The sequence below is a fragment of the Homo sapiens genome, chromosome 11 (genome assembly GCF_000001405.40).
Source record: "Homo sapiens chromosome 11, GRCh38.p14 Primary Assembly".
Classification (NCBI taxonomy): domain Eukaryota; kingdom Metazoa; phylum Chordata; class Mammalia; order Primates; family Hominidae; genus Homo; species Homo sapiens.
Genome location: NC_000011.10, coordinates 116,032,649 through 116,059,564, shown reverse-complemented (window position 1 = coordinate 116,059,564; position 26,916 = coordinate 116,032,649). Strand labels below are relative to the sequence as shown.

Below are 26,916 nucleotides of genomic sequence, written 5' to 3'. Positions count from 1 at the left end.
TCCATATCAACCAATTTCTCACTGATTTCCTAGAGAAGCCTAGAAAACGAGAAGGAAAGTTTGAGATGAGTGCCAAGTTCACCTGTTAGTCTGAGGCTACCCTGACACATAGGTAACAGACAGGACAAAGAAGACAATACAGTTCACAGACATTATGGTCACAAAAGGAAACCCGGGCAAAGGAAGACATTTACTATGTGCCTGATAAAGAAGATTCAATATTGCAAAGATGTCAATTCCTGCAAATGAATCTATAAATACTTAATGTACTCCCGATCAAAATCCCAACAAGATTTTTCATAGAACTTGACAAGTTCATTTTGAAATCTATATTGAAAAATAAATATCAAGAAAATCAAGATAATTAAATGAAAAAAAGGAAGGGGGACTTGCCCTCTTAGATATCAAAACATACTATAAATGTATCATATTTAAACAGTAAAATTCTACAATATTGACTTGCAAATAGACAAACTGGTGGGTAGACTAGAATGCCAAGCCCAGAAACATATTTGTTGGGCACATAATAGGCATAAGATATTTGTTGAATAAATAAACAAGGGTGGCATTTCACATCAGTTGCACAATAAATTGGAGTGGAGCAATTGACTATTCATTGAGGAGAAAAAAATAGAGGTAGATTCTCTACCTAGTATCCGTTACTAAAAATCAATTCCAAATAGCTGAAAAAACTAAATATAAAAATATCCAAAATGTTTAGAAAAGACAACAGAATAATGTGTTTATGACCTCAGGATAGGAAGGGCCTCCTTATGTAGATGAAAATAAGCAAAATATATAGAACAGAGGTTGGCAAAGTACTGTTCCATGGGCCAAATCTGGCCCACCAAATTTTCTTAAAAAACCCGATGTATTGGGACATAGCCACATCCGTTTGTTTATATATTGTCTGTGGTTGCTTTAGAGCTACAGCAGCAGAGTTGAGTAGTTGGTGACACAGACTGCATAACTCAGAAAGCCAAAAATATTCATTTGGACATTTACTGAAAATATGCTGACCCTTGACAGAGTATAAAGGATTGATAAATATAACTACTACATCAAAAATTAAAACTCGCCAGTCACAAAGATGCCATGAACAAAGTTCAAACGGCAACCCGCAAACTTAAATATTTGCAAGGTGTCTAACGGGATGATGATTGAGGTTATGTATATGAGGACTGCCTACAAATCAAGGAGTCATTCTAACGTGAAAGACTGGGCAGAGGATATGAACAGGAATTTCATAGAAAACATTAATATGGCAAATGGAAACATGAAGAGATGCTCAGCCTCACTGATTTTATTACTCAAAGCCCCAGCAAGAAACAGAGGGCAAAACTAGATACTTTGAGGAAAGTATAATTAAGGAGTTGTTTATAAAGGTATGGACTGGATTTTAAGCAAGGAGTGATACAATATCCTGTGGCCAATAATTTTGTGATACATGTAATTTTGTTATATATATTTTAACATAATAGCATGGACTCCACCTGCCCCCTAAAAAAGCCATTAAAAACCCAACTATATGGCATTTAAAAATATTTAAATATCAAAATAAAGACAGGTTGAAAAATAAAGACAGGTTGAAAATAAAGGATGGAAACTGCAAAGTATAAGCATTAAAAAGCTCACGTGGCTATATTTCTTTCAAAAAATAGATTTCAAGACTAAAAAATTACCAGAAATAAAGTCATTATTTAATGGGACAATCCTTTAAAATGACATAATAATCTTAAATGTCTATGAACATAATAAAAGATTTTCAAATACAGGAAGTAAAAATGGACAAATCTAAAGGGAAAAACAGAAATGCACACACACATAGGGTTTAACATATTCCTCTCAGTAACTGACAGAACAAGCAGCAAAATATCAGCAAGGATATAGATGGTTTGATAAAGAGGGAACTGTAACCACCCCAAGGCTGAAGATGCACATGAGAGTCAAAACCTGGAAGGGCTCTGCAGGGGCTTTTCTGACAGAGCTGTGGCTTTGGGCACAAGGATGCACCACGCTTGCAAGGCAGAAGAGGAGAGGGAATAAATCCCCCAACCTCATTCTCCTCCTCCCCTCTGGATCTTCTATTGGCTAAATCCAACCAAGAACAAGTATCCTGTTGATACTGTCCTGACAGGTCAGCTTCCTAGAAAATGGAGTGGAGAAATGTGGAGAGTGAATCTGGGGGGCAAACTGAAGGTATGCAGCACACTGGTAATTAGGGAAATGGAAATCAAAGCAACAGTGAGAAACCTCTTTTTACCCACAAGAATGGTAAACGTTTGTAAAGTGTAAGTGTTGTGAAGCACTCTCATACGCTGATGATGGAGAATAAATTAGGACAGCTGCTTTGGAGTACAGGTCATCAGTTGCTATGAAATTTTAAATGTACATGTACCATGACCCAGCAATTTCACTTCTCTGTATCCAGAGAAACAGTTGTACTACTGCACAAAGTGGTACGTACAAAGATGTCCCAGATTCCTATCAGTTGATGAACAGATACATTGTATTACACTCAAATAAATTGTAGTCATATGACAAGAAAATATGCATCAGTTAAAAAGAATAGGGTAGGTCTAATACATACTATTATGGGTAGCTCTTCAAAAATATTGAATGAGAAATAGAAGTTGTAAAATTATATAAGTATTTTATTTATGCAAAACAATCATTTTTTAATACAAGTGTATCTACTTCAGTGTAAATTTATGGACAGAGTCTAAAAGAATATGTGTCATGATTAGCAATGAGGAGATAGTCAATTATTTTTTATAATATGTACTTATTATTTGTGAAATTAAAAATTCACTGTCACTAATACCGACAACAGCAAAAAAAAAAAAAAAAAAAAATCATTGGACCACAAAATACCGACAACAGCAAAAAAAAAAAAAAAAAAAAAAAAAAAAAATCATTGCACCACAACGCTATCTCTTTCCCATGAAGCCTTCTAGTTCTGTCTGTCAGAATTCCTCAACCTCTGCTCTCCAGGTTCCATCTGGGCCAGGCATGTCTGTTCTAGCATGTTCCACAGTCAGTCTTATACTAGAGTTCATTGTTTCTGTGTCTGCTTCTCCCTCTGGATTGTAATCTCCTTGAGACCTGGAGCTATGTCTGTGTTATGAACATTGTTTTCCAGTCTTTACCCCTTTCTGGCAATTTCTCTGACTTAAGTCCAATCACAGGTTACAGTGGTGCCCCCTAGGAACTCTGCTTATCAGATGGTCAACTAACCCAAGTTGGACCAATTAGGGTCCCTTCCTGGAAAATGAAGAATTGGGGTGGAGAGGAAGTTAGGTCTGCAATATGTCAACTGCCATGTTTCCAATTAGAAGAAGCAGAGAAAGCTGTTATGGAGAGGAGAGAGAGAAGAATGAAAAGATATAAGACAGGAGCAAAGAAATGAAGCCTGCTGTTGTTTGAGACTCTGATTCTGGTTTGCTTCAGCAACATCCTTGTACCTTTATATGAAGGATATCCCTACATCTTTATAATAAATAGCCATGTTTTTGACTAACACCTCCAATTGGTTTCTGTTGCTTGTAGCCAGAAGAATTCTAATTAGTAGTGAATAACAGTTTGCTTTTCAATCTCCCACGGCACCTACCTCATAACAACCTGTTTCCTAGTAGATGCTCAATACATATTTGCTAAATTGGACAGAAGATGTCATTCATTCCTCCTTGCAGGTGCTCGCCCAGCCTCTGTTTGGAACTTGCAGTGCTTCTAACTCATCACCTCCCGAGACACCCCATTCCACTAATGAGCAGCTCTGACACCTCCACAGTGGTCCCGTGGCCCCTCTTTATCATGGTAACTCTGCAAACATAGGAAGTCTTCTCTTTTCTGAAACATCCCCAGCTTCACCAACTGTTCCCCATAAGGCACTATTTCCAGATCTTTCTTTCTCTGATAACAGTCCTCAGGACAAACTCCTGTTGGTCAGTGTCTCTCTTAGATTAAAGTGCCCCAAATTGGCTTTTCAGACCTCAAGTTCCTGTGGTCTATGAGTGATAGGCAGAGTTGCAGGAGCTCACAGACAGACTCCACAGAGCTGAGAACTGGTAAGGGGCTGTATTATTTTGCCGAGTATTTAAAAGAGAACTATTATCCATAGGGAACCAATTGGAAATTGTCCTAATGTAGAAACTCTTTGCTATTAAAAGTGTGTGAGTATGAAATTTGTTAATACCCATAATTTAATTTGCTGATGTGAAACCCCAAGCACGAAGTGTTACTACAGCACAAAGCACACATCTCCCCAGTCAATCCCACAGTCCCTTTGTGACTATGAATCACTCACACTCAAGGGGCAGCTGGCATTCCTCTAACTTGGAATTGAACTGCAGACTTTGCAACATCAAGTGGCAAGTAAGACTGCCAGAGCATCCTAGAGCCGGGAGGATACCTTAGAAAGGATCAGCTTGTTTAATCCCCTCATTTTACACATAAGCCACCTTAAATCCATTCTGGAACAAGTAGGGCATTAATAAATAAATAAAATAAAGTAAACTTTACCCATGAGGAAGCAAAGACTCAAAGCAGTCAAGTGGCCAACCCAAGAGCATGCCGTAGGTTGGGAGTGGAGCTAACACCCACCCATGTAGGTCCACAGTTCTTTGCTCTGCACCTACCCCCTTGGGAAAGGAAGTCGGCATACTGTAGGGGCAGCCTCTAGGTGCTAAGAGGCTTCTCATCTTCCCCTTGAGGACAGCAGGTGTAGACCAAGGGCCATTTGTTAAAAGCCAGAAATCTAGGAGCAGCTGAACAAATCAAAGCTTGCAATTAGGGAGCATACCTCAACCACACTGCCCACCCAGAACTGGTTTCCCAGCTGACCCTCCTCCCCAACGGCACCCAGGAAGTCAGATCAATATTAGAGTTAAATTCTTCCCTCTTCTTAAAGGCTGAATTTCTGGAACTGTAAGGAACAGCAATCGATTAGAACACAGTCTGAGCTTTATACGCATTTACAAATCTCTTGGCTTCTCCATAGACTCCTGAATCTCACTTTATCCTGTGGTAAGGCTTTAGGAGGCTGGAAGAGTTGTGTCTCAATGCAATGGTCAGACAGAACATGCCACCCCCTTCTGTGATGACTTTCCCAAGCTCTAGCATCTCTGGTCCGTGGAAGATAAATTCATGTATTTCATATTGGGAACAATCAAACCCTTCACCCGTAGTCATCACACAGTGACCTGGGCATAGTGAGAAGGCTTCAGGCTGTTTGCAATGTGCAGATGAGGCTGAGGAAGAGCCCTGGTCAGCCTGAGCTCCCCAGAGTGGCTCAAGGGTGACAGAGACAATCCAGGTCCCTGGAGCTGAGTTTAGGTCCCTCAGGAATTGCAAAGGTCGGAAACTTCATTTTCTCCCTGAAAAGTGAAAGACACCAGAGGGACGCTGTAGGGCTTGAGGAACACTTAACACCACACAATGGAAGTGACCAAGAAGAGAAGAGATGACTGCAAGAGCTGGACGAATCTAGAAGGACTGGACAACACTTCAAGCCAGAGAGTTCCATCTACAGGAAAAGCCATGACTCTGGCCCCACACCAGCCTCATACCTCCCCATTGCCCACTGGAACTTTCTCCAAATAGAAAACCTCTTTAGTTGGTGGCTTTGCTTGGATGCCCAGTTTCCGATGCCTTTCAGAAATAACGTTTATCTGGCTTTGAAGGTCTTATTCTGGGGACATTTCTTATTTTCCTTCTTTCTTCTTTCAAAAAGAGAAAGAAAAAACAGCAGCTTTGACTAGTCTGAGGGTGACACGAACGCCTGATTTTTATGCAATGTTGCAAGTGCCTTTCAGCAACACAATGGCAGGTTCCTTGACAATGTCATGCGTCTATTCAAAGCAACCGGCACGCCAGTCAGAGGCCTGGGTGTTTGCACAGTGCTTGTTCTCTATAGTGATAAGGCATGTTAGATTTTCCCATTCTATTTGAGAAATAATTCTGGTCTTTTTTTAAGTCCCCTGCCTTTTTGATTATTTTTTTCTTGCCTCTTTGCTGAACAATAGGACCTGTCCCTATTTGATTCCTTACGTGATGCTTGTGTGGTAACAACTTGAGAAAGAGAGAAAAAGAGAGTGGGGATGGGTTGGGGGTGCAGGGCAGTGGGGAGAACGTGATGGCTTAACAGTCCCTGCCAGGTGCTGGCCACAAAAGGGCCGGCATTAAGGAGGGGCTGGGAGATTAGCGCTGATAATTTTGCTCGGCTGATTTGTCCAGCTCCTTTTGTTGGAACCCAGGGTTTGTCAGAGGATGGGCTAATTATCAGGCCTTCCATTCCCCTGTCTGGTCTACCACAGCAAACACTCTCTCTCCCTTTAGCAGGTGCGTAATGCCAAGAACGGAACGTCTGCTTCCTGCCCCTGCTGGAAGCATGATGGATAAAAAGGGAAAAGGAGAGCAGGGACCGGGATAAGTGTTGGGAGGGTATGAAGCCACCTTGTTTTGCAAATGGAGATAAAAAGGCCCCAACTGCGTTCTTACCCCACAGGATCTCCAGCTGCAATTTGCTGGTTCTAATTTTCATGTCTCTAAACACATTGCCTTCCCAACCAGGGTTATCAGTCAGTGTTGGCTGTGTAGTAAGCTACCCCAAAACTTACTGGCTTAAAACAACCCCCAGTTATTTAGATCATGATTCTTCTGGGTAATTCCATCTGGGCTGGGCTAGGCTGATCTCTGGGCTCACTGACGTACAGGAGGGTTGTCTGTGGGGCTGACTGGCCTGCCCAGGTGGCTCTACTCACACGTCTGGTGCAGGCTGAAGCTAATGGGGTGGCTGGGTCATGTGACTCTCATAATGTAGCAAGCTAGCCGGGTGGCCAAGTTCCAAAACCAGCAAGAGGGCAACACCAAAAGCACACGAGCTTTTCAAGCCCCTGCTCTGTCTTTTGCGTTAATGATGGCCAACTCAAGTCAAGGAGTGGAGAAATTGACTTCTGAACTCCACCACTGCATCAGAAGCTAGAGAAAAAGAATTTGTGGCTATTTTTCCTTTTGTCTGCTACAACTTGAATAGCCTCTTCCCCTTGTCCCCTTATCACCCAGGAAGATGCACACACTAAGAATAGATTGAAAAAGCTTCAAAAGAGCTTTCTCCTTGAACCCAACATCCAATTACTCTCATGTTGTTCATTTTCTTTGTATTTCTACTAATGTGTGCCTGCTGTTGTTTTGCTTTATACCCTTTTCACTTGCTAGAATTTCAGAGCTGGCCTAGCCGCCTCATTTTGTGGATGAGGAAACTGAGGCCCAGGGAGGCAAGATAATGTGTCTGATGCCACCCATCCAGCCAGTGGAATACCTGAGGTCCCAGTCCCCCAACTCTAAGCCCAGGCATCTTGCTCCCATGGCCAAATACCTTATGAAGTTATCGTGTGCCTTTCTTCCACCACACGAAACTAAATGAATGCCTCAAAGTTGTGTTTGAGGATTTTGTGCCCTGCCTATTACCTGAAAAGGATTCAGAGTGGTTTTCACACGAAAACACGACGCAAAAAGGAACAGAGGCTGTTGGAGGGATGCAGAAGCAGTATGTGTTCTCAGACCTCTGAAATGGATAGATTACACCACCTGGACTGCTTTACTGAGAGTTTTCCAGCAGCTGAGGCAAAAGAGAGAGATTCACTGAGTTACACAGGGTTTATCTTCTAACAAAAGAAAGAATACAAACTCACTTATTAGGACAATTCAGTTTTGCTGGCACAAAACTTGAGTAGATATTTACCAGATGTAACTTTGTCTACGGAACATCGAGCGGCTTTATGGACAGCGTCCTCCATCATAATTCCCACATCACATTCATTTGCTGTGCCCCTTGCCTCCTGCCCCGCAGTGCCTGGTGTGGTGTGGTGCCCACAGTGGGTGCCCAATCAATGCTGTGGGCTGATTGGTGTGTGGCATCAGCCGTTTTGACTCCTCACCAGGAGTGGAGTCTGTAGCCCTGGTTGAGTGAGTGGGGCTATTTGGAAGCCTAAATTAATTGATTTACTATCGATTGGACTACAAACCTCTCTCCAATATCTCTAGAATCCACAGCTTCCTCCATTGAAGAAGCACTTCAAATTCCATCTGGGTTTTATCTAAGCAGGACAGATTTGTAAATCGCTACATAGACCAGACCAGAGTTCCAGCCCCCACCTTGTTATCTACTCATGAGTGGCGCTGAGCAGATTCTTTTACTTCTCTGTATGCCTACCTGTTCTTCTCCCATCCAGGTACTTTCAGGATCAATGGATGTGATATGAGCGCAACTCTAAGTGCAGTGCAGATGGAAGGAATCTTAGTGATACTCTCAGACTCTCAGTTCAGAGCTCAGCTAAATTTTCCCTCTTTAGTCTCAGGACTTGAATATCTGATTTTACTCAAATCAAGTGGTTTTTGGTAACATGTATTAGAGAAAAAGGGAAGAGAGGCTAAAGAGTCCCCACAGGACCAAACTACCACTACCATAGCTGGTATTTGTCTGACAGCGCTTCGCAGGGTTAGAGGCCCCATCCTCCAGCAGTGGGATATGGTGTATGGCAGGTTCCTCCTCTGCTACAGCCTGTGTCCTGCTCTGTCACTTGGTCTGGGGCTGTGCACCTCAAACTCTGATGTGCATGTGAATTCCTGGGGTCTTGTTAATATGGGGCTGAGAATCTGAATCTATATTAAGCTCCCAGGGGATGCCAATGCTGCCGGTCCAGGAACCAGGTCTGCGCACAACTAGAGATGGAAGAATCAGCACCACACTGATGCAAGGGACTCATTATGCAGCCTCAGTGTGTCCAACTCGAAAGGCACTGTCTGAACAGGGAATGCAGCTGTGGTGGGTCCTACATACTCCTGCACTTCAGAGCAGATGAGTTAAAGAGGGGCCTAGAATGTGGAGAAAGTGCTTTTTATCCTCGTATATCTACCATAACCCCAGGGTCTTTCTAGGATTCAGGATGTGATGAGGTAGGCATGAGGGTTACAATTTTCTATTCTACCCTGGCTGTTCCACATTTAAGGTGGGAGAGGCACAGACTGTTGAGCAATCTGGCTTCCCACCATGTTTAACCAACAAATGAAATCGCACAGGATGTACTCTTTACTAAGCACCTTCACATACATTATCTCACTGAGTATCTACTGTAGTGTAGATGTTTTTGCTAACCCCTGTTTAGAGATGAAACAGGCACAGAGAGGTCAAGCAAACATGCTAAGGTGACTCAGCCAGGAAAGGCAGGTCAAGCTTAAAGTCTGATCCTGCTTTCCAAAGTCTACTTCTTTCTAAGACACTGCATGAGCTCAAAAGTCAATAAGCCAGAGAGCGGCCCATGAGGAGCCCCTGCCTAAGGGCCTAGCAGGCGGCAGCAGCCAGGGGAAAATCTATCTCTCCATTTAGAAAAGAAAGGACAGACAGTACACCAGCCCTGTGTTTCTTTCCCACTCCATGACAAGCTACCTCAAGCACAGCAAGTGCAGTTGCACACTGAATGTCACCAGGGACAGAGAGGGGAGTGTACCGAGATACTAATCAATTACTGAGGAAACTGACAGTCTGGGGGTTTTCACTTAAAAAGAAGTTAAAATATGTCACTTGCTTTTTATTATTTTTTAAGAGTGCAGTTAGACATGGGGAGCTTAGCATGAATAACCTCAGATTTATGTGCCGATCAGATGGATCCTTAAACTTCCTAAGTGCTTAAAGTGTACACATTTTAACTTGAAAAATTACCAGGTTTGTCTAAAGAAAAATTTTCAAACATAAAACACAAAGTTCATTTGAAGGGAGAAATTCTCCAATGGAGTGAACCCAGCCTGTCATAAAAAAGTTAAGCCAGGCATAAAGGAAAATGTCATATGTGTGGGAAAACCAGCTGTCTCTCCTCTCTCCTCTTTTTTTTTAATTTTTATAACCTAGATCAGATTATGGGAGAATATATGAATGTCTGAGGCAGGGCTTCAGGAGGGCCACAGGAGAGTGAACCTTACTCCCCTGGGTAATGCTGAGCTCTTTCTTGGAGAATGCATTTTTTTTTTAACTTCTAAATAAAGTACTCTAGAGTGGCACATTTATAACCAGCAAAGAATTACTCAAATAAGAAACGCTGTCAGCTATTTATTTTAAAAGCTTTTTTCCTGAAGGAGAAGGGGAAAAAAAAATCTCTCCACTCTCCTCCATATGTCTTCAAAAGGTTTGTGGGTGAATTCCTTCCTGGCTTTATTCTTCTCCTTAGGAGAGGAGCCTGTCTCCAGGCCACAGGATTATTTCTGTCCCTCTTTCTCTCTCTTCTCTACTCCCAGCAAAACAGTCTATCCACCTTCCAGGAAACAGGGAAGCTCACGAGAGTGTGCTGGAGATGGGACATGTGTAAGTGTATGTTTGTAGGGTGCACAAAGGGTTCTTTGTCAAATTCCTGCAATGACACCCAACCAGAAAGAAGGAAGAGAGGGATGCATGGAGGGAGGAAATGATACAAACTAGAAAGGAAGAAGCAGGTGTACCATGAGGACTTATTTTTTAAAATAAAGAAGAGGGGAGGCAGAAAACAAGAAGAGAATAAGTTTTTTGTTTGTTTGTTTGTTTTTTGAGATGGTGTCTCACTCTGTTGCCCAGGCTGGAGTGTAGTGGCACGATATCGGCTCACTGCAACCTCCGCCTCCCGGGTTCAAGTGATTCTCATGCCTCAGCCTCCTGAGTAGCTGGGATTACAGGTGCCCACCAGCACGCCAGGCTAATTTTTGTCTTTTTAGTAGAGATGGGGTTTCACCATGTTGGCCAGGATGGTCTTGAACTCCTGGCCTCAGGTGATCTGCCTGCCTCAGCCTCCGAAAGTGCTGGGATTACAGGCGTGAGCCACCGCATCCAGCCTAAGAAGAGTTTGAGAGGAAAGGGAAGATTAAGGAAACGAAGAGGAGCTCCTAGTCTATGGGAGCAACATGAGATTGAGGGCTGGGTCTCAATCTTCCAGATCGTGCTGTCTTTGGAGAAACTTTTCCCTTTTGGTCCCATTTCTAATCATGCCTGAAGTGTGGACTCAAAGTCAAGAGTGGATGCCATTCGGTGTTAAGCTGCTGCAACTCAGACTTGGTTGAGCACTTCCCTTTGCAGAAAGTCCTGTATGCAATGGGGTAAGCTGGGTCTGCATGGTGGCCCCAAATGAAAGGAAGCAGGGATGGACTTGTGGTCATGAAAATGCCAGAAAGACATTCACTGGGAATAGAATAGAGAGTTACACTCTGTTGAAACAGCAATGGTAGTTGAACCGAGTTCTTTTTCTTCTTGGCAGGTGTCACCTAGGCTGAAGTAGACACCCAATTAGCTGATGCCTGGCCAGTGTGGTGAGACCACTATGCCTGCCCACTGCCTTCTTGTCCCCTATGTCCTGTTAGATTCCTGCCAATTTCTCAAATTTTCTTCATCATATACCCCTTCTGGCCAGGACTGACCTCCTTCTCTAAAAGCTTTACTTGTATTTCAGAACTGGCACCTTATCCCATTCTGGGCTGTGTTAGTTATTTGAGTGCACACTCCAGGCCAAGGCTAGGCAGGTTCATTTCTGTATTTCCCACAGTGTTTGGTGCAGAATAGGTGATCGATAAAAAGACTCAGGAAATTACTAACACTATAGCCAACACATTAAGAGCTACCAGAGGGCAGCCATTGCTTCAAGCACATTCTGTGTGTTCCCTCGAATTCTCACAGCAACCCTGTGAGGCGATGCTATAGTTGCCCTCACCTTAGAAATGAGGCTTCTGAAGTGCAGGGGTTAAAGAATGTGCCCAAAGTCATTCAGCTTATAGGTAACGGGGCTGGGATTTGAACCCAGGTGTTTGGTGCTGGAGCGGTGTTTTTCAACGCTGTACTACGTCCCTTGAAAGCCTCACTTGCTACACGTGGTCCAGTTGAACAATTTAGTAAACATTTTTATCATGTTTAATAGTCCAACTATAAGGCCATTCATTAGCCTTAAAAATTATTATTATTTTTTGGTCACGTTTATGTTGTACACTCCCACCCAACCCCTGCCTCGAAACGCACAACAAACCAACCCTGCTTGATTCGAATGTGAGTCTGCTAGGCCCAACACTCTTTACTCCTTTTTACTTTGTAACGTTGGACATGGAGTCAGAACAGCATAGGAAAGATCAGTGTTCCAAATTTGTCACTTATTCACCTTGCAGAGTTATTATTGACAATTCAATGAAATGATATTGTCACATGCCTACAAGAGAGCCTAGAACAAAACTACTCATGATGATGGCAATGGGAACCGCATCATAAGGCCATTGCAATTAGCATCCCTCTGAGATCTGGTATCTCAAACTCCAAACCCATGGAGTCAGCCCAGATTGCTGTGTGCAGCGTGGGGCCTGGGTGTGTGTGGAGCTCTCTGATTCCCAGGGATTCTGAATCAGACAGACCAACATTCACATCCAGGCCACTGGTTTGTGATTTTTTTTTCTTTTTTTGAGATGGAGTCTCACTTTGTCATCCAGGCTGGAGTGCAGTGGCTCAATCTCAGCTCACTGCAAACTCCGCCTCCCAGGTTCCAGCAACTCTCCTGCCTCAGCCTCCTGAGTAGCTGGGACTATAAGCGCCTGCCACCATGCCCAGCTAATTTTTGTATTTTTAGTAGAGATGGGGTTTCACCATGTTGGCCAGGCTGGTCTCAAACTCCTGACCTCAGGTGATCTGCCCATCTCAGCCTCCCAAAGTGCTGGGACTACAGGCATGAGCCACCATGCCCAGCCTGGTTTATGATCTTAAACAAAGGATTTACCTCTCTAATCCACAGTTTCCTCGCCTAAAAGATGGGGGCATGGCTGCAGCTCTCACATGATTCCTACGAGGGTGAAGGGAAATGACATGCTTTAGTGGCTGAGGACAGACCATGCGGTAGCCAGCGTTCAATAATGTCAATCATTACTTTTTGAGCCTGAACAGAGGGGAGGACACAGAGGAGGCACTCTACAGATGCTCGTTGATCAACAAGTTGGTTCCTTATAAAGCCCAGACTTGCAGCTCTTCCTTCAAATAAGTCCGCTTGAAGGAGCCAACTTTACTAAAGCAGGGGGTGGGATGCAGCAGCTGTCAGTGCAGGCTAAGGGAGGCAAGGAGAAGGGAAAAGGAGATAGTAGAGAAGAGAAGGGACTCATCAAGGACACTCTGTGCATTGTCCTCGGCCTAGCCTGAGAGTAAGCACTTTCTGTGGGCAGGGGCTGCCCTGGCTGTTTCTGTTTCTGTGTCCTGCCAGTGACATGCAGAAGACACAGACGCAGGTGGCTGTTGTTGATGCTGCTTCTCATTCACCCACCACGTCTCCCCAAGGCGAGCTGCTCGGGGATCTGCATTCCTAGCCTGGCTCTTCAATGTACATCCACCTCCCCAACTAAGAGAAAAACATGGACCATTTGCTGTCGCAGAAATAGTCCTGGTCAGGGAGTTGAATGACTTGAGTCTTCTGGACACTCACAGCTTCTGCCAGCCATGGGTCACTTGTCTCTACACAAGAATAGCCAGCAAATTCTCTGTCCACCTTATGAGGTTGCTAGAAAGCTCAAACAGGATAACATGGGAAAGAACTTTAGAAGGTAGAAGAAGCCATTCAAAAGCTAATACAAAGGACTGTAAATAAAATCATTATTAGGGTATTACAATACTCAGCGAAACCTGTGGACCTTATACTGCTCCATGAGCTGTTCAGCTGCCTCTCTGATAAGAGTATATGTAAGCTGACATAGGCAGGCTTAAAGTGGTCATCTTTGTGAAAAACTAAGAAAAGCGCTGCAGGGAGAGGGAAGAGTATGTGCAAAGGCCCTGTGGTAGGGAGGAGCTTTGGATGTTCCAGACACTTGCAGAAGACCAGTATAGTGAATATTCACCATTTGTATAGTAAATAGGGCATAGTTGGAGAGGAGTGATGTATAGCTTAATAACATTGGATGAGTGAATAAATGGATTGGTGAGTGAGTAGGGTTGCTGGAGGGGTCTTGGGAACCCCATTTGTCTGACCCTTTTCTAGGGGTTCACATCTCTGTAGCACCAGTGAACACTTCCGGTGGCCTCATCCTGAAGGATCTGGGGTGTTGCCCGCTCTACTGGCAGAGACCCCCTTCCAAGCTCCAGCAGCCCACTTGGCGATCAGACATCAGCTGGAAGTTCTGGCCTTTTCACTCAGCTGCCCTTGTCCACACTGCCCACTCAAAGAGCCTCTCCTTTCCTCCTGCTCTGCCTCCCTCAGGGGACCACTGCCGTGTTTATGAAAACTGAACATGTCATTCAAACCAGCACCTCTGGCCTCGCGAAGCCGAAGATCAGGAGCCACTATTTTTACCTCTCCTTTCTGTCACTGGACTTTACAAGCAAATGCTGGTGTCCCCCTTGGCAGTTCCCGGAACCTCGCAGACAGTAATGAGTCTGGGGATGGTGTTAAGCTCAGATGTCAAACAGAGTGGCCAGGGCCTCCTGAAACGCTGAGAGAGCCGCGAGCTTCTCCCTCTACAAGGTCAGCTTGTGTGTAACACTTCATTAAGTTGCTCAAACACTGAGCCGTGTCTTTAACCAATACCTTTAATGTCATTTTCTGCAGACTTAATAGAGGAGCATTAGCATACCTGTCAAGTCTTCCCATTTAAACTTCGAAGCAAGTGAAGTTTAAAGTGCCTCCTTCAGCCCACAGTGGATTTAGCTTCAAACTTTAGTTTAAGAAAAGAAAAGAAAAGAAAAAAAAAAACCAAGAAGGAGAAGGAGGGGGAATCCTCTGCGGGGCTATGTGACGAATTAGAGGATGTTATCTTATTGCAACCTTCCGAGTCCCTCTTCCTGCCTCCAGGAAGTATACCTAGGTTAAGAACAGTGGGGGGCATGCCTCAGTGTTTACTATGACATGACCTTTCCTTGTCTCAGATTTACAGACTGGAACAGAGTCCCGGGAGGTCAATTAGTCCATTCCCCTGCCCCCTCAAATTCATGCTGCTCAGAGTAGGACATAAAGCACTCTGGTTAGGCATAAAAACCAAGCTAAGGAAGGTGATATGACCTAAATATTTGTGTCCCCTGCAAAATCCATATGTTGAAGTCTAATCCCCAGTGTGATGGAATTAAGAGGTGGGGCCACTGGGATGTGACTAGATCATAAAGACTCCATTCTCATGAAGAGAATTCACACCCTCATAAAAGAGATGCCAGAAGGCTGGCTAGCCCCTTCTACTGTACGAGGATGCAGCAAGAGGTTGTAATCTATCAGGCAGAGAGAGATGCCTCACCAGACACGGATCTTGGACTTCCTAACCTCTAGTACAGTAAGAAGTAAATTGTGCTGTTCATAAGTCACTAAGCTTATGAAATTTTTGTTACAGCAGCTCTAACAGATTAAGGCAGAGGGGTATGGGAAGGCTGCATTCTTGGGTGCAAAGCTAATTTGGATCATTTGGGATGAAACTCTGAGGCCTGGATTGCATGTGTGCACAGCTCAGTGCGTGTGGATAACTACATAGCTCTGTTCTTTGCCCTAGTGCGGGGAGGAAAAGGAACTACAGCAGAAGAGGAAGCTAACAGGCAAGGGCTGGTGAGAGGGTCAGCAAGGTCTTCCTAGTTTTTTAATGAAGTTGCTGTTTCTTGGGTCAGCCCTGAGCTCTTGAGAGACAGGCCCAAAGAGTTAACTCATAATAGAGCCTGCCCTCTGGTCTGGGACCCCCACATAAGGAGGGTGTCTTAGTCCATTCAGGCTGCTTAACAAAATACCATAAACTGGGTGGCTTATCAACAACAGGAATGTATTTTTCATGGTTCTGGAGGTTGGGAAGACCAAGATCAAGGCGCTGGAAGTTTTGGCATCTGGTAAGGGCACTGCTTCTTGGTTTATACAGGACTTTCTTGCTGTGAACTCATCACATGGCAGGTGGGGTAAGGCAGATTTCTGATTCTCTTTCTTTCTTTCTTTCTTTCTTTCTTTCTTTCTTTCTTTCTTTCTTTCTTTTTTTTTTTAATTTGAGATGGAGTCTTGCTGTTTCCCAGGTGGGAGTGTAGTGGCGTGGTCTCGGCTCACACTGCAACCTCCACCTTTCGGGTTCAAGTGATTCTCCTACCTCAGCCTCCCGAGTAGCTGGAATTACAGGTGTGTGCCACCATGTCTGGGTAATTTTTTTGTATTTTTAGTAGAGATGGGGTTTCGCCCTGTTGGCCAGGCTGATCTTGAACTCCTGGCCTCAAGTGATCCGCCCTCCTCAGCCTCTCAAAGTGCTGGGATTACAGGCTTGAGCCTGACGGCTCAATCTTCCCAGCCTAATGGCATTAATCTTCCATGGGGGCTCCACCCTCATGACCTAATCTCCCCGCAAGGGCGCTTGGGAGTTAGGATTATAAATTTGGTGTGAGGGGAGTGCACAAACATTCAACCCATAGCAGAAGCGTTCATGAAGAACATAGTGATTAGAATGTTCCTTTAATCTGTTGGTAGTGGGGAATGTCCCTTTCAATACTCCTGTTGCCATGGAAGGGCAAGACCAGGACTGTGCTCTGTGATCTTGGTTGGACCAAAGAACAGGCATTCGGCCTTAGAAAATCTCATCTGTGAAATGGGTTCATCTATCGGGAGAAGATCAGCTCTCATAGAGCTGAGGGTAGAGTGGGCCTTGAGTACTCAGCATTAAAGGCTTGGCAGGAGTTAGGAAACAGGATAATGAATGTGCCTCTGTCATTAAGCCACTAATCGTTAATTATCCCCCTAGACATCACATAATGTGCTACCCAGGCAAAAATAAAATTGCTTGAACTTTTCTACCGAGCTCTAGTTTTAAATAAATTACTCGTGTCAAAACTATTTACCAAAGTGAGTAATTTTAGATATTTGTCAGACTTCATAACATGCTTTAATTAGTGCCAGCTAATAAAGTCCTCGTGTAATTAAGCATACATACATCCCTGTTGTTTTGTATTTTGAATTTTTGCTTACGATAATTCTTTGAAATGATTTGATGCCTGGCTTTCGGAATACATGTATGTGCATGGAGGTGTGTGCCTTTGTGTGCATATGTTTCCAATGTTACTCCGTAATGAGATCCATGCAATTAAAGCACCCACTTAATTATTAATGCTGCAATTAAGGCAAGAAGGAGGAGTTTCTCTTTCAAAAGTGGAAAGTTGATCCCTGGCTCCCAGTGCGATGGGAACTGGTGCAGACTGGCACTCTCACCCACTTGGTCCCAGAAGGCAGATCAGACAGCGTGACTTGTGCCTGGATGCCCTTAGGGAGCAAGCAGGTCTATAAGGAGCCTGCTGGTTTCCCTGACATGCTCCGCCTGAGAGGCTCCAGAGTGAGGATGGCAGTGGTGACAGTTCACTCCCAGCTCAGAAACCTGTCACTTGGAGATCAGCATTTTAACTACCCCCTGCCCCTCAAGAAAAAAAAAAAAAAAAAAAAGAAGGACACCTTAATTTACCCTGCTGATTGGCTTGAGAGCTGTCAGAGTGACAACCTGTCTCTGGCTGAAAGGGACCTGGTGTTAGTTCTCAGGCTGGCTTTGTGTGCATTATATGGTCTGCTTGCTCCTGGAAACGGCAACACTGAGAGCGCTGAACTGCACCCTGGTATCTGCTCTTCCCCAGCTCCTGCCTCCCTACTCATTGGCCATGGTGTTCAGGGCCAGACAGGCCAGAACTCCAGATTTTAGCAGGGAACCATGACTTCTCTTTCCCCCATGCTTGGTGTACCCAGTGAAAGCTTCAGGACATAGATGGACCCATCCAAAAATATTCGACAAGATTGCCCATTGCCTGTGTGTTTGAGATAGGGCCACCCATGACTCCAGCATGTGGATGCCTCCAAGAGTTAACTGGGTGTCCTACATAAAATCTAAGACTTAATTTCACCTTCACATAAGACTATGCAGTCCTTGTACTTTCTTCTTCTCTCAGGAAATGAGTTTGATAACTTAGGATGACAAAAACATCATCTGAGAAGCTGCTCTTCCCCAAAGGGCTAGTATGTTCCTTAGTCTTTGTAAATCCATGCTTTTTTATGTTTTGGTAAACATTAAAAAATCCCAGACCCTTTAAAAGCCCTAGAAATTCTAATACAACTTTCATACCTCACTGAGAAGCCCTCATATGTGATTGACAGTTCTTCTTCAGAGTCTCTTCATTAAGATTTTGTCAAAGTTTGCTGTCTGTAATTTGTGTTTATAAACTAGATTTTTTGTGTGTGTTCTAAGTATATTTTAGGATTTCTTTGCTTTTTCAAACTACACAATGCTTCCCTAGGGCATATGTATACCTTTCCCTGCCCTGCACGTATCAGTTGAGGCACACTTACAATACATAGCTAGTAGCTACATGGGGCTATTGAGCACTTGAAATGTGGCTCGTCCTAATTGAGCTGTGCTGTTAAGTGCAAAATACACCCACAGACTGTATGAAACAAAGAATATAAAGCATCTCAATAATTTTATATTGATTACATATTGAAAGAATATAATTTCATCCATGTTAGGTTAAATAAAATATATTGTTAAAGTTAACCTAACCTGCTTGATTTTACTTTTTAAATGTGGCTGTAAGAACATTTAAAAAACATGTGTGGATCTCTGTATTTTTATATTGGCCAGCACTGATCTAGAGGATCATGACAGCTTCAGACACCTATTGCAGCTGAGGGCAGATGGGGTTGCCCTGCCTTGGCCTTGGTTTGGTCCACCTCTGCTACTCATCTGCTGGCCTTGGACATATCTCTACTTCTCTGGGCCTCAATTCCCTGAGAAAGTTGACTATGTAAGATGGCCAATGAGGTCTGGTCTTGTTGTATAGAATAGGATTGTCATCTCAGGGTACCTTACAGGAGGGGATGGATTCTCTCCACTAGCTTTAGAGATGGAGCCGTCATTGCAGCAGAGAAGGGTCATAGTGACCTCTGGCACTTCTGATTGGCTCTCGGTTGCCTTGTACCTTTTCTTTCTAGTCACCTGGGGAATTAGACTCAAGCTCCCAAAGGTACGGCCATATGAACTTCAACCTCTCTACCCTAGTTCTCTCATTCCATTTTGCCAGGCCAAACAGCACCTGCGGAGGGACACACCTGTCCTGTCCTTTAACCCATGGTGATATGTCACTGATCAGCACAATTGGCTCTAATAGTTCCCCAGGTGGATTCCAGAGAGCAATGAGCAGAACATAAAAATCCCTTTATTATTGCCATTTCACTTTTATATACCCATCAAGCTTTCATATTTAATCTCCTACATCACAATAGCTGATCATTTTTAACATTTGACATTGATAGAGTGCCCACTGCTATTATTCTGACATACTATAAAACATTACACCCATTTGCAATAGAAAAGGCCAAGAATCAATACCCAGCCCCATTTTCCACTGTGGCTGTAAATCACGAAGTACCTAACAAATTGGTTTAAGTAGAAGAAACTTCAGAACCAATGAATGGCCTGACCAATCCCCACTCCCTGTTAGAACTGACAGGGACCTGGAGGCTAAGGGTAGGAGAAGGGAGGGGGGGAGAGAGGGCTGGAGGGAAGCCAAGCTGCTTCATAAGGCAATCAAGATTCTTCAGGGACAAGAATTGTCCCTCTGTCTGAGCCTTAGAGACACCTACAGAGAATAAGGACACCTGTGCTCTGCTCATGTCTGCTTCGGTCTTGACTCATAGCAAGCAGCTCCATATCGGGAAGCTGGTGACTTCCTAGTTCCTACCCCATCTTTCTACAGACTCAGAGTCCCATTGTGAAGATTATCAGTCTATTTTGTCAGTTGTCTCATTCCTTGGAATAACGAGACATTAAAATAAAGTATCTTTTATTTGGCTATTTAATCAAATTGACTTCAGGATGAATTGATCAGACAGGAGTTAAGAAAAGTCATAAATTAGGCATTGCTTAAAATATGTAGGGTAAAAGGTTGGGCTAAATATTCAGTCATTATCTTTGTATTTGAAGTGAACGACATTTTAAAAGTGTAAAAGTTTAAAATATTCAGAACATTGCCTTTACTTTTTATTCTTGGGCATCATCTAGATCCAGTCTAAGGCTGTGATGATTTTGTTGGGCTCCATTGAAAGCTTCTTTCAGTCCAAGTTGCCTGGTTGAAAATACATGAGCCTGTGGTCTGACTGAGGACAGTTGCTGCGATGCTGGAATGTTCTAATAGCATGAGGACCTGGCTCCAGGAGAACAGAAGGGAAAAGCAGCTTATTTATCAATTTATTTTCAATTCAGGACTGGATTTCTTATAGAAGCCTGGTATATGAGTGCACACATTTACCTGACTTTTCTGCAATAGGTACACTCCTAAAGTCACACATAGGCCAGATTTTTGCAGAACAAATTCCTTTCTTTTCTATTAACTTACATTATAATTTCAGAAATGATTTCCCTGCATTTCAATTAGCAGTGAGTGATTCTTTACATTATCTGTCTTACTCAACCTCTTAATGATCCCACATAAGATGAAGAACTTTTGTAAAAAGGGATTCTTTGGAAAAGGAACACACCCCAGTGATTTGTGGATGATTTCAGTCCTATTTTGCACATTGGAATGACATAGGTGGGAGCTCACTGGAAGCAGATTTGTAGCGGTTCTTTTGCAAGCTTTGTCTAGTGCTAAGAACATCAGATTGTGAGTGAGGAGGTTTGAGTCTCATCCTGCTATTTTCCAATCGTGTGAATCGCAGGGTAGATATGATACATGACCTTTCTACACATTTTGTTTTTCATTTGTAAAGTGGGGATAATAATTCTTTATCTCTTTCATAAGATCCACAATGAGGAAATGAGACAATGAAAGTAAAATAATTTATTATTACTGTTATTACTGATAAGGCAATAATAATAATTATAATATGTGATGAGAAAAGAAACAAGAAAAACCATTTTTATATTGGTTCTGTTTTGTTCCAATGGAAGCAAAACACAAGAAACTCAAATCTAGGTTCCTCAATTTTGTACCCTGAGAATTGGAAGTCAGAAAGACAGTCAGATCCAAGTGAATTTTAGAGGACCTCTAAGCCTTAGAAAATTTTTGACTTGTGCCATGTATTGCTTTTTCTTTGAGTGTATTTGGGTATATGTTAATATATTCAGTCGAGAAACATGTATTGAGTGCCTACTCTGTGCCAGGCCTTGTACTTTTTCCAAAACGTATAACAAAAGCAGACAAGATAGTGGCCCATGCCGATCGTCTATAGATGAGGTTCTCAAGCTCTCTGTGCATCAGAATCACTTCCCAGGCTCAACCCCAACCCTTCAAAATCAGAATTTCTCATGGTGGAAGTTGAATGCCTATATGTTGACAGATTTCCCAGGTAATTCCAACATTTGGGCCACTGGTTTATATGGAAACACCCTATCTATCAGCCATGACCAGGAACCATGTTTCTCCCACCAACTGTGGTTTTCAGAGTGGGAAATTATGTTGAGATTCCCTATTTCTGGTTTTCCTAAAATGGGAACATAACTAAAGGCTGATGTGTTCAGCTGGTACGTGACCCCTGCAGGGATATGGACATGGGCCAAATCCTTTGTTCTCAGCCTACAGTTCTGCTGCTGGCTTGCTCCAAAATAACCTGGTTTGTCTGGCATCCTGGACTGCAGCCCTCCTGTCTGTGGGCCCAGAGGATGACCCAGAAATCCCATTGTTCCTTTTATCATCAAGCATGGGTTGGTTCTCTTTGGACTAAGTCTCTGTTTAGCGCTTGAGAAAGAGGAGGGGAAAATCAAAGGAAGAAAGGGAAGGAGGTCTAAGTCAGCTCCCTGGTGACTTAGCCACATTGTTCTCAGAGCTAAAGCAATACTCCAAATACTGCACACTTCTATTCGCCTGCAAAAGAGCTTTTCCAGAGCACTTTTCCCTCAGTCATCACGTGTGAACCACCTCTCAACAACACTATGAAGAACCTGGGGTAGATGTCACAACTTCCGTTTGATGGATGATAAAGTTGAACTTCAGAGCAATGCAGTGACTGACTTTGCAAATTGAACAGGCACATGATCCCTAGGGTGAAGACAGTATCAGTTTTTATCACCTTTGTACCCCTTAGCATATTTCTATAGGAGAACCTTGAAAATACTGTATTTGTTAAATTAGTGAATGAACAAATGCAAAAGAAAAGCAATCAGTTAGAGCTGGACCGGCATCAGACTCTCTCCTCGGTCTAGGGCCTGATGACCTGGAGCTCTCTAGCTTCACCAAAGAAAACTGAACTGAGGACCTTCCCCTGTCCCCTGCTAACCCGCCCCAGTGAAGTCTTATCATTTTCAATAATCGTGTTGCTTCAAAGGTCACTGGAGCCTTTTGCAGTCTTCTCGTGGTGGGCCCTGAGTGGCCTTTTTGATGGCTGTTTTTACTTTTTACCTGAGCCTCAGTGAGGTTTGGCAAGCAAATTTTTACCTTGCCTTGTGGTCCGGACTTTCTGGATGGGGAGCTATTCTTGTCTCACACTTGCTCCTGATGATTTTGCAATATCATGATTTCGGTGAAATGAAAATACATCTTATTCCCACAGAACTGCACAGAGCCCTTTGATGGGAGCCAGTTTTGGTAGTGTTGTAGTTTGGTAGAGTAGTGTTGAGGTGAGATGGTGGCAGAGCTTCCCAAATGAAAAGGTCTTAGAGGAAAGAAAGGGCAGAGAGCCTATCAGAAGTCACCCTGAACTGCCCCCTGCCAGGGGCATTCTCAGCCCAGCCAAGTGAGAACCCCCATACATCCTCCCGTGGCCAGGAGCTTTTACTTAGCACTGAAGTCCATTTCTTGAGCTGAAATGTAAGTTGCATTTCTTCTTGCTCAATCCTCAGTAAATTTGGAGAAAGTGCCGTATATTTAAGCTTAGAATGCTGGAATACACAACCAAGCAAAACTGTAGAATATCATTCCTGAGAGTGCTGGAAGGAAAGATGAGAAATTTTTGCCTCTTAGAGTTCAGTGAGACGCAGGCTTGCCTAGAGGCAGGGGCGGGAGCAGGTGACCTCCTGCATACCCTCGGCTGTATCCAATTTTCTGTGACACAAATCCATCTCTAGCAGCAAGTTTCAGATGGCGGGAGGACAAGAGGCAGGAGCCCAGATCCTGTCCTGGCAATGAGGAGGACAAATAAGTTGCAGCCATGGAGTCGTGCAGACCTTACTACAAAGGAGCCAAGGGGCCAGACAGTACTAAATAATTCTGTTTTTCAGACACATTTGAGCACCCCAATCTGCCCTCAGTCCCTCCTTCCACTTGGCCCAGGTGGCCAGGACCCAGGCTGCCTCCTGTCCTGTCAGAAGTGACCCTTTGATATCTGATCTCCCATCTGCTGGGCTAGGCATGTGGAAGAGACAGCTGGCACAGCCCCTCCCGGGGGACTGCAATTAGGGGATATTTAATCCTGTCACCTGGTTCATTTACAGTGATGGATTTGGGCTGGAGCGCTCAGTGGCGCCGAGAGGATATTGGATTACCAGGGCCCATCCCCTTCACCCCTCAAAGAGAGCTGGCCCTCCCCTGCCCCTGCACCTATCTTCCCTGGCCCCAGGGTGAGCCACCTGGCTCCTGTGAATTAAGAGCAAGCACTTGCTGTCGGTCCCCTCCCCCAACTGCTGATATTTCACATGAAACCACCTGCAGATGTAAAAACATCCATGGGATTTTCACCCCCATCAGTGCCCCCTCTGGCCCCTGCTTATTTTGGAGGTTCTGACTTTCAGATTCTAGAGCTCAAGGAGATTTCCAGTGACTCCCGTCTTTTCATTTTCCAGACTCTCGATGCTGGGAACTTTGCATTAACTGTTGTTTATTTGGGGTTTTTTTTTCTGAACCACAATACCAGTCTAAATTTACCTAATTTGTCCATCTTCAGGCTAACTAAGAATACTGGAAGGAGATAAGATTGGGACTGAAAGACCTGGATTGAATGATTTTTATCAAGTCACTTCCCTTCCTTGGATCTCCATTTACTCATCAATAAACTAAGCAGATTGGATTAAATGTTCTGTAAGGTGCCTTCTAGGTGAGGAAGAAGTTGGGATAAGTCATAAGGTGAGGAGTTTGGACTAGACAATGGGAAAATCCCAGAGGGGAAACCAGTGGGGTACATCAACAAAAGAAGATGCATATTAGAAAGAAATTCAATGTGGAATAAGAACCAGCGTGTCTGGAATAATTTTGAGGTGGCCTTAGTGATTTTAAGTGACCCCCATGAGACAGTTTTAATCAGTCTTCTATCCCCTCATCGGCCTGAGTTTTTAAGGAGCCCACACAAAAGAGGTAGCCTCAACTTTCTGGACTTTCCAGTTCGATATATGTTAAAGCACTCGTTCAGGATGGTGGCCAACTTCTCTATGGGCAAATTCCATGTTTCAGGAGAGGGGAGGAGTCTGCGCTCACATGGGAAGTTCCACTACTCTTAAGATTTTGCACAATAGCTGCCACCTCCCATGAGACAGGCCAGATATCAAGCCTTTCTGGGGGTCAGCGGGTCATCACATCATTTCTCTGATTCAAATGGTTCAATGGCTTCTCGTTACACTTGGAATAAGATCCCAGTGCATTACCATAGTTACTAAGCCTGTGTGATCTGGCCTTGCAATCTTCTGTCTTAATTCTCCTCCTTAATGCCCTCTCACTCCCTGCGTTAGGCCAGTGTGTGTGTGTGTGTGTGTGTGTGTGTGTGTGTGTGTGCGCGCGCGCGCGCGCATGCGCGCGCGCCTATGTGTGCCAGCACGTGCACACATCTTAGAGTTTCCAGTCTTGTCCCTGCCTCAGCAGCTTTGAGCTTGCAGTTCTCTCTCCCTGGAATACCCTTTCCTTAGTTCTTGATATGGCCGGTCCCTTACTGCCCTTTAAGTATTGGCTCAACTATTTCCACTTCAGGGAGATCTTCCTGGACCTCTCTCTCTATATCACTGTTTATTCTCTTAGTAGCCATACATTGTCTTGTATAAAATAAAGTTGCAGATTTTCTTTATTTTTCCTACTTGAATATAATCTTCATGACACCAGTTAACTTTTTTCTTTTGTTTAAAGTCATATTCCTAGAATATAATTTTAGCACCTAGAATAATAGCTAGCATATCATAGTAGTATAATAAACATTTGTTGAATCAATGAACATGGAGTTCCTATTGTAGGGTGAGGACTGAGGCCACATTTCTGGATGTCGTTTGATGAAGGCAGATTATGAGCTAGGCTCAAAGCCTCCTCACCGCCCACCAGCACCACCACCCCCAGTAGCAGGTGTCTGTGCTTCCCACCTCCAACCTTGAGGTAGATAAACAATTGTCCCCCTTGCTCTGCCCTCTGCTGACCTACTCAAATTACCTGTTCCTAAGATGATCAAAGGGATTGGAACAAAGACTCGTAATCGAATGAGTTCTGTGTCACATCCTGGAAATGGGGGCACTTGCGGAGTGAGTACAGCCCCGGGAGAGAGCTCTTGAGATCAGCAAAGCTGCTGCCTTCAAAGGGTTGACGTGAAAGCAAACGGAGAAGCACTTGAGGAGAGAGGATTTCTCTCCAAAGAGGGGAAGCACTTCAAGCCCATCACCCCACCCCTCTAGCCACAGATATGAGTGTATGCCTGTGTGTGTGTGTGTGCACAAGCCTGTGTGTTGGGTGTGTGTCTCCAACAGAGGAACAGAACATCTCTTGCAAGCACTATGAGCTCTCAGATATCTTTGCAAATAGTCAGTGGCCCACTCCCCCTCTCCACCCATAGTGTAGGGAATTCTGTGAATTTTGTTTATCTTGCCAAGGCCTCCCATTAATTTCTTGTTTCTCCAGGAAGCACCCCAATGAACATCTCCTGCCTCTATGGTTTTTCTGACATCCATCAACATCTGTCAGAATTTGAAAATGTGACTGCTTTTAGGTAATTGGATACATCATCTTTAGACATGTTCAAAGGCATGCGCTCTGTTTTCCATTCCATTTATAAGCTCCTTCAAGGCAAAATCTATATTTTGTTTTCTATTTGTTACCCTCTCCACAAGAGTCCTAGGACAGAATTTTCCTCAGTGTGCTTGTTGTCTGAGTACATTTTTGTAGTGTGAGAACCATTGGATGCTGATTTTATTTTACTCATTAATTTATTTAAAATATTTACTGAGGCCCATTATATGGCAGGCACTGTGCTTAGTGCTGGAGATTCCGTGTTGAAGCTCACAGTCTGGGGCAGAGATGGAAACAGACACAAATAACTATAATACAATGTGGTAAGTGCTGTAATATAGGTACTGTATGCTCAGAGTGCTACGGGAACTCAGGAGGGAGCTTATGAAATAATTTAGTTAATGTTCCAATGTCTAAATGTGAATGTTTAAATAACGTCTTTCTTTCCTCAGTGCTTCCTGCTTTGCATGGCATTTTTTACTGTTTTTTATCTTATTTGCTGATTCTAGCGATCCCGTTAATAAGTTTTCACTCCACAAACTCACCCTTATACAGAGTAGGTGCTCAAGAAACATCTCCCAAAAGACAGAATAAGTGAATGGATAGTCGATGTTATTAGCTTTTGTTGACAATTAGATAAACTAAATGTCGCAGAGTGATTTGCCAAAGCTCATAAACACACATTAAATACCTGCTACATGAGGGCCACTATCTACGATGCTACCGCAGATAAAAGAAAGTACAAGTTGTGTTTCCACCTCCTTGATCTTTCAGTCCTTTTGGTAAAACATGAGGTGAACCACTGATTGTTCAGTAATAACAGAGGAGAACAGGAGCAGCTCAGGAGAACAGCACGAGGCAGGGCATGGTTCACCACCGAGTGAATGGAGCAGACGAGGAGGACCACAGGAGGCAGGTGAGGTTGCTGGAGATTAGGGTGGTCAGGAAAGGCCTCACAAGAGAAGTGGAATATGAACTGGATCTTAAAGATGGGTTGCTATAAACTGAAAGAAAAGAGTAGAAAAAAAGAGGTAGAGAATAAAAGATATGTTCAAAGGAAA

The 26,916-nt window shown here is 43.7% G+C and overlaps 1 long non-coding RNA gene across 3 annotated transcripts in view, besides 2 other annotated features; it reads left to right on the top strand.

Moving 5' to 3' along the window:
• The window catches only part of LOC105369513 (uncharacterized), a 47,986-nt gene extending 21,495 nt beyond the window's left edge, over positions 1-26,491 (top strand). For all 3 annotated transcript variants that reach the window (XR_948056.2, XR_948057.2, XR_948055.2), the window contains 3 exons: positions 23,826-24,004; positions 25,748-25,835; positions 26,090-26,491. This is a non-coding gene — a long non-coding RNA (uncharacterized LOC105369513). The remainder of the gene's footprint in view (positions 1-23,825; positions 24,005-25,747; positions 25,836-26,089) is intronic.
• Positions 6,195-6,726: an enhancer, noted in NCBI's record as "H3K4me1 hESC enhancer chr11:115923557-115924088 (GRCh37/hg19 assembly coordinates)". NCBI's record gives its function as "activates a minimal SCP1, AML or CMV promoter by ChIP-STARR-seq in primed H9 embryonic stem cells {active_cell/tissue: H9 hESC(primed)}" and the evidence as "EXISTENCE:reporter gene assay evidence [ECO:0000049][PMID:30033119]".
• Positions 6,727-7,258: an enhancer, noted in NCBI's record as "H3K4me1 hESC enhancer chr11:115923025-115923556 (GRCh37/hg19 assembly coordinates)". NCBI's record gives its function as "activates a minimal SCP1, AML or CMV promoter by ChIP-STARR-seq in primed H9 embryonic stem cells {active_cell/tissue: H9 hESC(primed)}" and the evidence as "EXISTENCE:reporter gene assay evidence [ECO:0000049][PMID:30033119]".
• Positions 26,492-26,916: the final 425 nt, after the last annotated feature.